General features: G+C 38.6%; 1 long non-coding RNA gene and 1 other non-coding gene across 5 annotated transcripts in view; both read left to right on the top strand.

Annotated features, from left to right (window-relative positions):
* Positions 1–17771, top strand: part of MIR31HG (MIR31 host gene) — a 105531-nt gene that overhangs the window by 29582 nt on the left and 58178 nt on the right. The gene's annotated exons all lie outside the window — the stretch shown is intronic.
* Positions 5835–5910, top strand: LOC124900282 (small nucleolar RNA SNORD55/SNORD39). Its single transcript, XR_007061913.1, has one exon. It is a non-coding gene; the product is annotated as a small nucleolar RNA SNORD55/SNORD39 (small nucleolar RNA).

Raw genomic sequence — 17771 nt, 5'->3', positions numbered from 1 at the left:
ATCCAGAACAAGGCCCTAACTCTCTTCAATTCTGTCAAGTCTTAGAGGTAAGGAAGCTGCAGGAGAAAAGTTTGAAGCTAGCAGAGGTTGCTTCATGAGAAGGAGCCTAATGTAAAAGTGCATGGTGAAGCAGCAGGTGCTTGTGTAGAAGCTGCAATAAGTTATCTAGAAGATATAGCTAAGATAATTTATGAAGGTGGCTGCACTAAACAGCAGATTTTCAGTGTAGACAAAACAGCCTTCTATTGGAAGAGGATGCCATCTAGGAATTTCATAGCTAGAGAGGAGAAGTCAATACGTGGTTTCAAAGTTTCAAAGGACAAGGTGATTCTTTTGTTAGGGGCTAATACAGCCAGTAACTTTAAGTTGAAGCCAGTGCTCATTTACCATTCTAGAAATCCTAGGGCCCTTAAATATTATGCTAAGTTGACTCTGCCTGTGCTCTATCAATGGAACAACAATGTGTCTGGATGACAGCACATCTGTTTACAGCATCATTTACTGAGTATTTTAAGCCCACTGTTGAGAGCTGCTCAGAAAAAAAGATTTCTTTTAAAATACTACTGCTCATTGATAATGTACCTGATCACCCAAGAGCTCCGATGGAGATGTACTAGGAGATGAATGTTGTTTTCCTGGCTGCCAACACAACACCGTTGCTGTAGCCCATGGATCAATGTTTAATTTTGACTTTCAAGTGTTGCTATTTAAGAACTACATTTTATAAGGCTATAGATGCCATAGATAGTGACTTCTCTGGTGGATCTGGGTTGCATAAATAGAAAGTCGTCTGGAAATGACTTATCATTCTAGATGTCATTAAGAACATTTATGATTCATGGGGGAGGGTCAAAATATCAACATTAACAGGAGTTTGGAAAAAGTTTATTCCAGCCCTTATGGATGACTTTGAGTCGTTCAAGACTTCAGTGGAATAAGTAACTGCAGATGTGGTGTGAACAGCAAAATTTGAATTAGAAGTGGAGCCTGAAGATGTGACTGAATTGCTGCAGTCGTATAATAAAACTTTAATAGATAAGGAGTTGATTCTTATAGGTGATCAAGAAAGTGGTTTCTTGAGGTGGAACAACTCCTTGTGAAGATGCCGTGAATATTGTTGGAATGACAATAAAGGATTTAGAATATTCCATAAACTTAGTTGATAAAGCAGTTGCAGTGTTTGAGAAGATTGACTCCAGTTTTGAAGGAAATCTTACTATGGGCAAAATGCTAAATGGCATCCCATGCTATTTCTTTAAAGGAGAGTTGATTAATGCTGTTTTAGTTAAGAAATTGCAGGGAGAGAGCAAGATGGCCAACCAGATGGACCCAGGAAGAACAGCTACCACTGATGGACCAAGACACTGGCGCACACTCCTAACAGATATTCAGAGGGAAGGCACCGAGAGTAGATGGAAGGAAGACACAGAAGCTGGGCTGAAGTGGGAGGAAGCTTGGAATTCTGCACAGGATTACCATGCACCGGGACTCATTCCTGGCCCTTAAAGACTCCAGGGGAACTGGTGAGTTGAACTGGCAAGGAGCAAGCCACTTTCACCACGGGCCTCTGGCTGCTTAGAGAAGTGGTAGGAGCCTCATGCCAGCTGAAGTGGAGCCCAGAGCTCTTGGTGTGGGAGTGTCTGTAGTAGAGCACTGCCAGGGAAGCCCATCTCCCTAGGCTCGACTTGCTCCCATAGGAGACCTTAGCCCTAGGGGAACTGTTGGACCTGAACTCTGCAGGGTGGTCTTACCCACCATATGGCGCCAGTCTGATCTGAGCACCACTTGGTGTGCTGGCCTCTCCTAGGTCCCAGCCTGGCCACACCTACTTGCAGGGCAGCCTCGGGTACCCTGGGGGCCCACATCATAGCTTCTGCACTGGTGGACCCTGCCTGACTAGTGGAGAGCTCCAGCAGAGCAACCCCCACAGCCACACACCAGCCCACCCACACCCTCCCCGCACAGCCACTTCCCCAGGGCCCAAAGCAACCTCCCACATTGCTTTGCCAGCACGTGTGTATGGGAGCAGGTTTTGCCACCTTTGTTCTGTCAGTGTGCCTGTGTGCGTGCACCCTCCTCTGCCACTGCCGCAGTGGGGTTGCACTCTGCTCTTTCTTCCCCTGCCAGACCACCATTGCAGTCAGAGTGTTGGTGGACCCATGGAAAATCAGCCCCACTCCCACTAGCACCACATCCTTGCACCAACACTGACACAGAAGTGAAACTAGGCACAGAGAACAGCAGACCCTCCCCTACCCTGAGAAACCACCCCTTCATGCAGTTCACAGAGAATGCATACAGACCTGTACCCACCAGCACCCTGCCCCTATGCATCCCCAAGACAGCACAATCATGTGTAATAATCACCAGCAGGGGTCCCCAACCTCTGGAACCCTGCTGTCTCCACCACTGTGGTGAACACCTGCACGGAGGCAGGCACCCAGTAACCCACTGGTACCCTGTCACAGCTGATGAGCATGTACCCTGCTGCGCTGTCACTGCTGCTGGCATATGCAAATGAGGAAGAATGCTGCTGCCACTGCACTATGAGCACACAGTCCTGAGGTTGGGAGCTGAGTGTTGGCCCCCTAAAACCTTCCAGAAACAAACCAGTAGACTAAATCCACCTTATACCACAAACTCTCAAGGTCATCAAGTAAGATAAAAGGAAAATAAAAACATCCAACAGTCAGCAACTTCAAAGATTGAAGAAGCACCAGCTCATAAAAATGAGAAAGAACCAGCAGAAGAGCACTGACAACTCAAAAGCCAGAGTACCTTCTTTCCTATAAACAACTGCAAGTGTTCTGAACTGGGCTGAGATAGCTGAAATGACAGAAATAAAATTCAAAATATGGATAGGAACAAAGATCACTGGGCTTCAGGGCACATTGAAACCCAATCCAAGGAAGCTAAGAATCACAGTAAAACAGTGCAGGAGCTGACAGACACAATGGCCAGTGTAGAAAAGAACATAACCACCCTAATAGAGCTGAAAAACACACTACAAGAATTTCATGGTGCAGTCACAATTATTAATAGCAGAGCAGAACAAGAGGAGGAAAGAATCAGAGCTTGAAGACTGGCTTTCTGAAATAAGACAGTCAGACAAGAATAGAGAATAAAGAATGGAAATGAATGAACAAAACCTCTGAAAAATATGGAGTTCTGTAAAGAGACCAAATCTGTGACCCATTGATGTCCCTGATTGGAAAGAGATGAGGAGAGTATGAGCAACTTGTAAAATGTATTTCAGGATATCATCCATGGAAACACTTCCAACCTAGGTAGGGAAGCCAACATTCAAATTCAGGAAGTGCAGAGAACCCTAGTAAGGTACTTCACAAGAAGATCATCCCCAAGACACATAATTATCAGATTCTCCAAGGTCAAAATGAAAGAGCAAATGTTAAAGGCAGCTAGAAAGAAAGGTCAGGTCACCTACATAGGGAAGCCTATCACACTAAGAGCAGATCTCTCAGCAGAAACCCTACAAACCAAAAGAGATTGGGGACCAATATTCAACATTCCTAAAAAAATTCTAACCCAGAATTTCATATCTTGTCAAACGAGTCTTCATAAGCAAAGGAGAAATAAGATCCTTTCCAATCAAGCAAATGCTGATGGAATTCATTACCTCCCAACCTGCCTTACAAGAGCTTCTCAAGGAAGCTCTAAATATGGAAAAAGAGTTATCAGCCACTAAAAAACACACGGAAGTACACAGACCAGTGACGCTATAAAGCAACCACACAAACAAGTCTGCATGATAACCAGCTAACATCATAATGACAGGATCAAACCCACACATATAAATACTAACCTTGAATGTAAATGGGCTAAATGCGTTTGCAGAAGGTTAAAACTGGACCCCCCTCCTTATACCATATAGAAAAGTTAAGATGGATTAAATGTAAAATCAAAAACTGTAAAAACCCCGGAAGACAACCTAGGCAGTACCATTCAGGACATAGGCATGGGCAAAGATTTCATGCCAAAAGCAGTTGCAACAAAATAAAAAATTCACAGATGGGATCTAATAAAATGAAAGAGCTTCTGCACAGCACAAGAAACTATCAACAGAGTAAACAGACAACCTACACAATGGGAGAAAATTTCTGTAAACTATGCATTTGACAGCGGTCTAATATCCAGCATCTATAAGGAACTTAAACAAATTTGCAAGAAAAAAACAACCCCATTAAAAAGTGGGCAAAGGACATGAACAAACACTTTTCAAAACGAGACATACATATAGCCCACAATCATGAAAAATGCTGAACATCACTGATCATTAGAAAAATGCAAATCAAAACCACAGTGAGATATAATTCTCAATCAGAATGACTATTATTAAAATGTCAAAAAAATAACAGATGCTGGCAAGGTTGTGGAGACAAAGGGATGCATATACACTGTTGATGGGTGTATAAATTAGTTCAACCATTGTGGAAGAGAGTGTGGTGATTCCTCAAAGACCTAAAACCAAATACCATTTGACCCAGCAATCCCATTACCAGGTATATACTGGAAGGAAGATAAATAATTCTGTCATAAAGACACAGGCATATGTATGTTCATTGCAGCACTATTCGCAATAGCAAAGACATGGAATCAACCTAAATGTCCATCAATAATAGACTCGATAGAGAAAATGTACATATACACCATGGAATACTGTGCAGCCATAAAAAAGAATGAAATCATGTCCTTTGCAAAAATGTGGATGGAGCTGAGACCATTATTTTTAGCAAACTAACACAAGAACAGAAAACCAAATACTGCATATTCTCACTTATAAATTGGAGCTGAATGGTGAGAACACATGGACACATAGAGGGGAACAAGTCACACTTGGACCTACTGGAGGATGGAGGGTATGCGAAAATAGAGGATCAGGAAAAATAACTAATGAATACTAGCTTAATACCGGTGTGATGAAATAATCTGTACAACAAACCCCCGTGATACAAGTTTACCTATGTAACAAACCTGCCCGTGTACTTCTGAAGTTAAAAGTAAAAAATAAAAGGAATTATAAGAAATATTTAACACAAAAAAGATTTTAAAAAATGGGTGAAATGCCCCAATTAAGAGGCACATAGTGGCAAGCTGGATTAGGAACCAAGACTCATTGGTACGTTGTCTTCAAGAGACCCATCTCACATGCAGTGAGACCCATAGGCCCAAAATAAAGGGCCAGAGAAAAATCTACCAAGCAAACAGAAAACAGAAAAATCCTAATTTCAGACAAAAGAGACTTTAAACCAGCAAAGATTACAAAAAGGATATCACATAATGGTAAAGGCTTCAATTCAACAAGAAGACCTAACTAATCTAAATATATATGCACCCAACAGAGGAGCATCCAGATTCATAAAGCAAGTTCTTAGAGACCTATGAAGAGACTTAGATAACCACAAAATAATAGTGAGAGACTTCAACACCACACTGACAATATTAGACAGATCATCAAGGCAGAAAATTAACAAGGATATTCAGGACCTGAACTCAGCACTGGACCAGATGTACCTGATAGACATCTGCAGACATCTCCATCCAAAAGCAACAGAGTATACATTATTCTCACTGCCACATGGTACATACTCTAAAATCAATGACATAATCGGACACAAAACATTCCTCACCAAATGCTGTATAATGAGTACTAGGCTCATTATAATAACCACCCTCTCAGACCACACCACAATCAAATTAGAAAACAAGACTAAGAAATCCACTTAAAACCATATATTTAAATGGAAATAGAATAACCTACTCCTGAATGACTTTTGGGTAAATAGTAAAATTAAGGCAGAAATCAAGTTCTTTGAAACTATTGAGAACAAAGATGCAACATACCACTCGAGTGTGCAGTGGGGAAGCCAACCTTGGACAGCTGAGCATGTGAGAAAAAAAAAAAGATGCAACATACCAGAATCTGTGGGACACAGCTAAGGCAGTGTTAAGCAGGAAATTTATAGCACTAAATGCTCACATCAAAAGTTAGAAATACCTCAGTTTAACAAGCTGACATCACAACCAAAAGGACTAGAGAACCAATAGCAAACAAACCTCAAAGTTAGCAGAAGACAAGAAATACCCAAAATCAGAGCTGAACTGAGATTGAGACATGAAAAAAAACATTCAAAATATCAATGAATTCAGGAGTGGGTTTTTGAAAAAATTACTAAAATAGGTAGACTGCTAGCTAGACTAATAAGAAAAACTAGAAGATCCAAATAAACACAATTAGAAATGTCAAAGAGGATATTACTGCTGACCCTACAGAAATACAGATAACCATCAGAGAACATTATGCACATAAACTGGAAAATCTCAAAGAAATGGATAAATTCCTGGAGACATACATCCTCCCAAGACTGAGCCAAGAAGAAATTGAAACCCCGAACAGACCAATAATGAGCTCCAAAATTGAATTAGTAATAAATAGCCTACCAACCAAACAGAACTAGAGCCAAATTCTACCATATGTACAAAGAAGAGCTAATACCATTCCTACTGAAACTATTGCAAAAATTGAGGAGGGACTCCTCCCTAACTCATCCTATGAGGCCAACATCATTCTGATAACAAAACCTGGCAGAGACACAACAACAACAAAAAAACTTGAGGCCAGTATCCTTGATGAATATCAGTGCAAAAATCCTCAACAAAATACTGGTAAACCAAATCCAGCAGCACATCAAAAAGCTTATCCACCACAATCAAGTAGGCTTTATCCCTGGTATACAAGTTGGTTCAACATACACAATTCAATAAATGTGATTCATCACATAAATGGAGCTAAAGACAAAAACCATATGATTATCTCAGTAGATACAGAAAAGGCTTTTGATAAAATTCAACACCCCTGCATGTTAAAATCTTTCAATAAACTAGGTATTGAAGGAACACACCTCAAAATAATGAGAGCCATCTATAGCAAACCCACAGCCAACATCATACTGAGTGGGCAAAAGCTGGAACCATCTCTCTTGAAAACGGACACAAGACAAGGATGCTGTCTCTCACACCTCCTATTCAACATAGTATTGGATGTCCTGTCCAGAGCAATAGGCAAGAGAAATAAAGGGCATCCAAATAGGAAGAGAGGAAGTCAAACTATTTCTGTTTGCAGACAACATGATCCTAAATCTAGAAAACCTCATATTCTTGGTTCAAAAGCTCCTTCAGCTGATAAACAACTTCAGAGTCCAAGGATACAAAATCAGGGTACAAAAATCACTAGCATTACTTTAGACCAACGACAGTAACTAAACTAGAAATGCTTTATACCAGTTTGGCCAAGAGCCAAATCAAGAGCACAATCCCGTTCACAATTGCTACAAAAGAATAAAGTACCTAGGAATACAGCTAACCAGGGTGGTGAAAGCTCTCTTCAAGGAGGACTACAAAACACTTTTCAAAGAAATCAGAGGTAACAGAAACAAATGGAAAAATATTCCATGCTAACGGATAGGAAGAATCAATATTGTCAAAATGGCCATACTGCTCAAAGCAATTTATAGATTCAGTGTTATTCCTATCAAATGACCAATGACGTTCTTCACAGAACTAGAAAAAAAACTATGTAAAAATTCATATGGAACCAAAAAAGAGCCCAAAACGCAAGAAGATCCTAAGCGAAAAGAACAAAGCTCAGGGCATCATGCTACCTGACTTCAGACCATACTCTAGGGCTATAATAACCAAAACAGCATGGTGCTGGTACAAAAACAGACACATAAACCATTGGAACAGAATAGAGAGCCCAGAAATAAGGCCTTGCACCTACAACTATCTGACCTTTGATGAAATTGACAAGAATAAGCAATGGGGAAAGGACTCCATATTCAATAAATGGTGCTGGGATAACTGGCTAGCCATATGCAGAAGACTGAAACTGGACCCCTTCCTTATACCATATACAGAAATCACCTAAAGATGGATTAAAGACTAAATGTAAAACCCAAACCTATAAAAACCCTGTAAGACAACCTAAGCAATTCCATTCTGGACATAGGCAAAGATTTTATGATGAAGACACCAAAAGCAATTTCAACAAAAGCAAAAATTGGCAAATGGGATCTAATTAAAGAGTTTCTGTGCAGCAAAAGAAACTATCAACAGAGTAAACAGACAACCTACAGAAAGGGAGAAAAATTTTGCAAACTATGCTTCTGAGAAAGGTGTAATATCCAGCATCTATGAGAAACTTAAACCAATTTACAAGAAAAAAAAACCCCATTAAAAAGTGGGCACAGGATAAAAAGGAATGAGTTCCTGTCCTTTGCAGGGACATGGATGGAGCTGGAAGCCATTATCCTCAGCAAAGTAACGCAGGAACAGAAAACCAAACACCACATGATCTTATAAATGGGAGCTGAACAAGGAGAATGCATGGAAATGGAGGGGAACAACACACACTGGGGGCTGTCAAGGTGAGGTCAGGAGGAGGGAGCCATCAGGAAAAATAGCTAATGCATGCTAAGCTTAATACTTAGAAGATGGGTTGATAGGTGCAGCAAACCACCACGACACACATTTACATAACAAACCTGTGCATCCTTCACATGTGCCCTGTAACAAAAAAAAAAAGTGGGTGAATGATGTGAACAGACACTTTTCAAAAGGAGACATACACACAGCCAACAGGCATATGAAAAAAAGCTGAACATCACTGATCATTAGAGAAATGCAAATCAAAACAGTGAGATACTGTCTCACACCAGTCAGAATGGCTTTTATTAAAAATTCAAGAAATAGCAGATGCTGGCAAGGTTGTGGAGAAAAAGGAATGCTTATTCACTGTTGGTAGAAATGTAAATTTGTTCAACCATTGTGGAAGACAGATACCTCAAAAACCTAAAAACAGAAATACCATTCAACCCAGCAATCCCATTACTAGGATATAAATCATTCTGTCATAAAGGAATATAAACCATGCTGTTATAAAGGAATATAAGTCATTCTGTCATAAAGACACATGCACGTGTATGTTCATTGTGGCACTATTCACAATAACAAAGACATGGAATTAACCAAAATGTACATCACTGATAGACTGGATAAAGAAAAAGTGATACAGCTAAATCCTGGAATACTATGTAGCCATAAAAAAGAACACGTAGGAACATGGATGGAGCTGGAGGCCATTTATCCTTAGCAAACTGACACATGAACAGAAAACCAAATACCAGGTATTTTCACTTATAAGTGGGAGCTAAATGATGAGAACACATGGACACATAGAAGGGAACAACAGACACTGGGGCTTACAAGAGGGTGAAGGTTGGGAGGAGGGAGAAGATCAGGAAACATAACTAATGAGTACGAGGCTTAATACTTTGGTGACTAAATAATATGTACAACAAACCCCCATGACACAAGTTTACCAATATAACAAAGCTGCACATATACTCCTGAGCTTAAAATAAATGTTAAAAAAAAAAGTGAGAAAAAAAAAATTGCCAGAGTCGCCCCAGCCTTCAGCTGACACCACTGTATGATCAGCCAGTAGCCATCAAGATCAAGATAAGACCTTCCACCAGTAAAAAGGTTACAACTTGCTGGAGGCTCAGCTGATCATTAGCGTTTTTTAGCAATATTTTAAAAATAAGATATGTACTTTTATTTAGACATAATGCTAGTGCACAGTTTATAGACTACAGTGTAATATAACTTCTATATGCACTGGAAAGCAAATTTGTGTCACTTGCTGTATTGTGATATTCACTTTATTGTGGTGGTCTGGAACAGACCCACAATATCTCCAAGATATGCCTGTAGAAGCTTCTCTAGACCTTTGATATTTGGCTGGATATTATAAAAATAAACACACCCCATTCCTGAATCCAGAAGTTTTTCAATCACAGTGTCAATATCTGTAGGTCATGAGCGTGCCCATTCAGCATTTATTGGGCTTAATGTATGTGCAGATTCTTTGGTGGGCCTTGGGATAAAAAGTTTAAGAAGACATGTCCATGCCCACAAAGAGCTCAAAAGCTAGTGGGAGAGGTATGTGTACAGTGAGAATAGGGACTCTACATCAAGGTGTGTGGTGGAAGTGGAGAGACACAAGCAAAGAAGGGGGCACTACCTAACCATTGTCTTAAAGGATTAATTCTGGTTTGCCAGGTAGACCAAGCGGCATGTTCAGGGAGTGTTACAGAGTTAGGGAACAACACTTGGAAAGGGCTCAAGACTTAGCATTCTAAGGGAATGCCACTTGTGGGTGATGGAAATATCTGGAAGCCCTTGACTTTTGGATTAGTTGGGAAATTCCTCTGAAATGTGTGCATTATGTCTGACTTTGGTCTTAGTTGGGTCACAGGCAACCATTAGCCTGATAATATAAATGTTTTGTATTTTATGTGTTTCGACAGTATTCTGAAGCTTATTGACAAACCAGAAAACGGAGTCATTTATAGTTTTGTTGTGAATCAACATGGTGAATCATTGTTTAGTTTTGTTTTGTTTTGAGCTCAGAATGCTTCCTTTTGGAATGATGAAGCAGAATGACCATTTGAGGAATATTTCAGGGGCAGAAGAAATGGCAGGAACAAAGTGGGAATAGTATGCCAGGGGGTAGTGAGGAGATGATTCCAGCCCCAAAGAAAAGCCCCATTGGTCCGTAGAAAATAAGGGTGGTAATGTTGGAAGTTAGTTTGGGGGCACAGATAGAATGCAGACTCTGAGGGAAGACATGCTGAATTCAGATTCTAACATTAACTAGCACTGTGATTGTGAACTAATGACTTAACCTTTCTGAGGTTTAGTTTTCTCAGCTATATAGTATAAAATGGAAAAAAATTCTTCAACAGCTTTTCAGTTTGGAGTTAGGATTTAATAAAAGAATAGATGTACAGCTCTTGACAATGTATTCTAAATACATCTTACCTTTGGTTCAGACTTTGGAGGATATAGAATATGAATTTAATGTGTAAATCAACCATTACAAATATTTTATTTTTTAAAGATATGCACATGTCATAGTCCATTTGTGCTGCTATAACAAAATACCACAGGCTAGGTAATTTATAAATAAGAGAAATTTATTTTTCACAGTACTGGAGGCAGGGAGATCAAGGCACTGGCAGGTTTTGTGTTTGCTGAGAGCCAGGTCTTCACTTCAAAGATGGTGCCTTTTTGCTGCCTCTCTCTGAGAGGATGGACACTGTGTAGTCACATGGCCAGAAGGTGGAAGGGCAAGAGAGTGCTCCCTTCAACCTCCAGCCCTTTTATAAGGATTCGAATCTCATCCACGAGGGTGGAATCCTCATGACCTAATCACTTTTCAGAGGCCACGCCTCTTAATCCTGTTGCGTTGGGGATTGTCTTAACATAAATTTTGGAGGGGCACCATTTTTCAAACTAAAGCAGCACTGTACTAAATCTTTATGGGTGGTGGCTATACAGTAATGAAAAAGTCCTTTTGAAATGTCTTTTTTTGATGAAAAAGTGCTTGCCTGGGCCTTAGGAAGCACCATATAAATACTGGTAAGTCACTGAGCTCCTCGTGTCACTCATAATGGTCCCAAATTCTCTACATTTCCACACATGAAAACGTTGTTCACCCACTTTCAGAATGCTTTGGTTTCTTTCCAGAAGTGTTGATGGGTTTGCATGGATCTCTCCCTACTTTCACCACCCTCGTTCCTTTAATGTCAATAGCACACATTTTTTAGGTGACTGACTAGGATTTGGGTGGCAGTCCATGGCCATGAAATCCAGAGAAAGTAGAATGGCTCATACTTAAAGACAGAAATGGCTCTAGTAGAGAATAAACATTTGAATTAACTAATGTGATAAGGTACATGTTCTAAAGTCTAGTTCAATTTTTAGATTCATGGAAAATTCGTGAAGCAGGAAAGAACTCATCCTCAGTCTCTAAAGCTGATTTTAAATTAGGCATGTATACTCTTTCCTTCTTAGGCTTAGTTTCCTTAGAAGGTTCAATATAGTTCAAGAAGTTTCCACAGTGGGGCTGTATTTTGCCATCTAGCAAAGGTTCAGCAGAGCCTTCCTTCAGGTCACTTCAGCTACATAAGGCAAATGAAGTTTTCTAGTGCAACAGGGAATGATTTAGTGTTCAAGGAATATCATTCTTCACATAAATTGATGTCACAGATTCTTTGAATAGATGTTCCCAGTGGTGGCCTTAGACTAGGATTAACTCAGAGTCTCTCTGAGTCTGCATTTTTAAAGTATCTGTTGTGTTTTTGAGCTCCCTATCAGTGAAAGTCACCACTGCTCATGTAGGAGCATAGAGCAGAAAACTGTTTTTTTTCTTGGTTCTTCCATTTTCTTAGGCCCTCAAGCCTCAAGCAAATTTTTCTCTTCTGCTTTCCAAATATATCTTGAATCTGTGTGCTTTCTTTTTCTAATCCAAGGTTACACCATCTCTGCACAGACAGCCTTGGTGGCTCCTAGATGGTTTCTGTGCATCCGTTCTGGCCCCTCCTGTCCGTTTACCCCTATAGAGCAGCCAAAGTAATCTTGTCAAACACAAATCTTGTTGTTTGGCTTCCTTACAGCCCTTTAGTGGTTTCCCATCCATCTTAATAAGGTAATCCAAATTCATAGTACTTTCTCATGTAACCAGTACTGACTGATCTCTCTATAAGTCTCTTTCATCACAGTGTATGCTGGGTGCACAGAGATAAGTAAGGCTTTCCTCCTACTCTTAAGGAACCTATAGTCTAGCAAAACAGTTAATCAATGTTTACTCATTTATCCATAAATGTTCATTGAAATCCTATCATTTACCAGCACAGTGCAGAATAAGGAGTTGGTGACTTTGTTGTTGTGCATGTGATGAAATGGGTGACTTGAATTCACATGGCCTATTTGCTGTTCTAATGACAATTTTGACCTGGTTAGCCTAAATCCAAAGCATGTGGTTTTAATCATTATACTTATATCAGTTATTTTCTACAATAATACTGCATAGCAAACAACTAAAAATCCTCAAATAAGTTCAGCAGTGTTTACTGCTTACACATCTGGGGTGGGTCACCTAAGCAGCTCTATTAATTTTGGTTGGCTTTGCTCACATGTTGGGGTTGGCTTGCTTTTGGCTGATCTAGATGGGCCTTGGCTGGGGGGATAACTAGGGAGACTTGGCCATGTTCTTTGCGCCTTATTCTTTAGTAGAGTAGTCTGGGTATACGCTCATGATGACAAAGGATCAAGAGAGCAGGCAGGCCTAGTCTCACCAGTGCTTTTTAAGCTCTGTTTGCATCATGTCTTGCTCACATCACAAGCTGACCAAGACAAATTATACAGCTAACTCCAGAGTCAGAATATGTACTGCAAAGTCACATGGCCACGATTTGGATTCAGGGAGAATTCAGCCATCATTGTAATCCATCATGATGCTGTATTTGTTCTTATTATAGCTAGTGTATAATTTGATGATAGGATTTACCAAATTATGTGAAAATATATACTGTCACCTCCCACTTGGAAACCCATTATAGGTAAAGGCCCTGTCTTCAGCACGATGCCTGGCATATAATAGAAGACCAACAAATGTTAAATTAATGGAATTATTAGTAGGTTGATGACTTTGAGATGTTTACTCTAGATAAACTTTTTCAGCCTCAGCTTAGTCAATTATAAATAGGCGATAATAATATCTACCACTGCCAGTTTTCTGAGGATTAAGTATGGGAAAAATGTAAAAGTATATACTGCTTACTCAAAAAAGATAGTTACTTCTCCCCTCATCCCCCACCTTCCCTTTTCAGTGGGTTTTTATGAATTTTGGAAAATAGGAAATGCTTTAATTTTGGCCCATTTTAAGCAAGGGGTTATAGAATAGAGAGCTCTGAATTCAAAATATCTTCCATATTTTCTACTAATTGCTAGTTTAGTATAATACTTGTCTCCTAAAAATTGGGATCCTTTTGGATGCTTAAGCTTATTAACAATTTGCAGTTTGTCTTGAATCCTTATAATGTAGGGGTAGATTTCCTCTTCCTCATTCCTATAGACAACATATGTGAAGAGGAAATGGGAATTTAGAAGGGTAGTGGAGTGGAATTTTGGGAAATAGGGCATTTTGTGGGAGGACAAGCCTGGTGTAGGTACTGTGGTGTGTCTGTATATTGGGGGGTGTGGGAAGTTGGATAGGCAGAGGGAAGAGAGTGTGAGGTCTTCCAGCAGGCAAGACAGGGCTGGTGGGGCAGAGAATAAAAACCTAACTCCTTTTTGTCAGTTTTTCTATACTTTGTAGTTGCCCTGGGGATCGTTTCTGATACCTGATAGAGATATTCAGTTGTATTTTATTAGTATTCCTAAATTTAAAAGAGTTATATTCTGTCTTTGGTGGTGTTCTTCCATAAAAAAGATTATATAAAAATTAAAATTACGTATGCTATATATGTGTATACACACACATGTATACATATACAGGCTTGCTAATGTAAAGACACTTCAAAAATCTTTGATTTTATAAATTCTTTTCTTAGCCATTCCTATAAGCTGCCTTTTTTTACTCTAAAAGTATCTGTAATTATTTCAGTATTTCTCCTCAATAATACTATAGATGACTGTTTAAGCACAAATAAATAAAATATTTTCTATTGTAATTGTTTTTTCCCTCATTGGTACTTTTTTGTGCGATATGGATAGTGATCAAGTGTACAATGAATGGCATTAATACATGGAACCCTCCATAGGTTTTGAGTCCTTCCAGGGGCCATAATGTTGTCTTTGCCAATTTATAAGAGATTATATTTATTCATTCATTTGAATATATATATATGTATTTATTTATTTTGAATATATGTATATATAATTGTACTCCTTTCTTCCTGCAAACCACTCCCCACAGATGTAGGGCAGAGACACATATGGCTTCTATCAATTTAGGGAGTAGCTTTGAGCACATCCTATTAAATTGTCTATTCCCAAAGGCAATACCAACACATTCAGTGAATGTTATTTTTTCCTACAGTTATATTCTTGATTGGACCACAAAGTTTTTCATAATACTGTACATGAAAAATAGGACATTCTAACTTTTTATACATAATCAACCCCTACCCCAACCCCTTTTTAGAAAACACTTTTTTAAAAATGAGGCGTTAAGTAGATTGTATTTCAGCTCTGAAAAGCCACAGTGAGTGTTAGTTACTCCATTTTTTTCAGTTACTGTGATTGAGTTCTTATTCTTTATGTCTGTGTATTAATTGGGGTTGGTATAGCTAATTCCCCCTTGCCCTTCATATGTCTGGAACATGCTAGATTTGCTGCCAGAATACTTTTATATCAGTTATTTAGAAGTAAAGTCACCTTATTAATTTTAAATGAATTTAAAGTTAGAATAATTTGAAGAATCCTAGACTTTGAACTTTATTTTGTTAGTTACAATACTAAAAGTTTGAAATGTAAAAGAAAATTTTTTCTTTTAGGAAAAAAATTATAAATGGGCCCTGCATTCTCTCCAGGGCATTTTTTTGTCAGCATTTTTCAAGGTTTAACCTTAACTGCTAAGGCCTATAATCAGGTATATATATATATACCTGATTTGTTTTCCCATTGTAACAATTCCTGGTTAGGTTAGAGTTTTGCAAGAAATTTGTTTAAGGTATATGTGGTGAGGGTGTGGGTTTTACCAGTAACCTGGTGAAAGCCATGATTCTCAGGATATATTAGAGAAATTAAAGAAAGCACCTCAGTTTCAACAGCAACAGCTTCTTCAAAAGAGTACAGTTTTTTTCTAGACTTTTCAATTACACATTGAGAAATTATTTGATAACCTAAAAAGTAAGTTTTCTTCCTCCTTTTAAATATTCAGGTATCTGCTACATCTGACTGGTAAATCAGATAGTTGCTGTTATTCAATTTTCTTTACAAAATGAATCTGAATTTTTTTTTGAGAAAAACCTCGCTCTGTCATCCATGCTGGAGTACAGTACTACAGCCTCAAACTCCTGTGCTCAAGCAATCCTCATGTCTCATTCTCCCAAGTAGCTAGGACTACAGGTGCATGCCACCACAGCTGGCTAATTTATTTTTATTTTTAGTAGAGATGGAATCTTGCTATATTTCTCTGGCTGATCTTGATCTCCTGGCCTCAAGTGATCCTTCCACCTTGGCCTTCAAAAGTTCTGAGATGTACTCAAGACCATGCCTGGCCTTGAATCTGAAATTTTTATGTGCAAAATGGAACTGAAAAAAGTCACAAGAAATTACTGTTTTCAAATATGTACCATATACCTTCTAAAATGATGCAGCTTGTACCTGCCTCTTAATTATGAATATCAGATATTAGTAATATTTTTTAAAATAATGAGTTTATTGGAGAAGCTTTATTCAGTTAAATCTTCTCAATTCAGAATTTTGTTACCTAACCTGTTTTGCATTTGCCATTAATTTTGATTCAATGCTCTGTACTTAATGATCCCCAAATTCCTAAATACCCTTACATTAATAGATCATGCAATTAAGTTGAATTGTATCCTAGGAAGTCAATTAGTACCTCTTCCACAAGTTACCTAGCCTCAGGACAAGATGTTACAGGCTTTTGTGCAATAGAACACTCATAAGTTCCTACCCTCACAAGAACAGACACCACATACTGTATATGCGTGGGTGACTGCATATGTGTATATCTAGTACCAGGCTTAGGTAATGCTGGACTTTTGTTTCTGGCAAAGGCAATTGATACTAGAATCATATTTAAAAGAGTATGCTTCTTCCTTATCTATACCTTGGTAGCACTATATAACAAAATGTTTTACCTTTATAGGTTACCTTACACTCCATTTTGGGTAAATAATACGTATTACTTACTAGTTTTTTAATAGAGACATATTAAAGAGGAAAGCAAACATAATTTATAATCCTATCCAATTTTTTTATTTAAAATAATAAATTGCTCATTTATCCTTTAATAAAAAACATGTATGTATGCCCTCCAGGTATGTGTCTGTGTATACATTTTCACTTGCACAAAAGTTATACATAATGTCATTATTCTTATGCCTTACTGTTTTGTAAGGACCACCAAATATTCTGTTGTATAACTATATTATTTATTTAGCCTGTATCAATCATACTGATGAGTGTTCAAGTTGTCTCCAATCTTTTACTATTAAAAACAGTGTTGCAGTGAACATCCTTGGACCTAGAACTTAGTGGTACTTTTGCAAATGTACTTGTGAAATAAGTTTCTAGCTGGGAATTTTTGGCTCAAAAGAGCATTATTTTTGGCAGGGCATGGTGGCTCATGCCTGTAATCCAAACACTTTGGGAAGTGGAGGCAGGAGTATGGCTTGAGTTTAAGGGTTTGAGACCAGCCTGGGCAACATAGCGAGACCTTGTCTCTACTAAAAATACAAAAAAAAAAAAAAAGAGTGATGGCACACACCTGTAGTCCCAGTTGCTTGAGAGGCTAGGGTGGGAGGATTCACCTGAGCCTGGGAGATTGAGGCTGCAGTGAGCTATGGTCGCACCACTGCACTGTATCCTGGATGACAGAGCAAGAATGTCTTTAAAAAAATCCAAAAATAACATTATTTTTAAGAGCACATAAAGCAGTGAACTAACTACACACTGCTGAGCCACAGTTTGTTATTGTTTAAATACATCTGAGTGGCAGAAATTGACCAAGTAAAGTTATTAGAGTAAAAATAAAATTGTACTGAGAGTCACTGGGATATTTTGTGGACTATAAATATGGTGGTAATAGCCTATAATTAACTGTCATCAACTTTAGACATTATTGATTTAATAAAATTTTTGTCACAATTTCATCC

The sequence above is a fragment of the Homo sapiens genome, chromosome 9 (assembly GCF_000001405.40).
Source record: "Homo sapiens chromosome 9, GRCh38.p14 Primary Assembly".
Classification (NCBI taxonomy): domain Eukaryota; kingdom Metazoa; phylum Chordata; class Mammalia; order Primates; family Hominidae; genus Homo; species Homo sapiens.
This window is presented reverse-complemented; position numbering and strand designations above follow the sequence as displayed.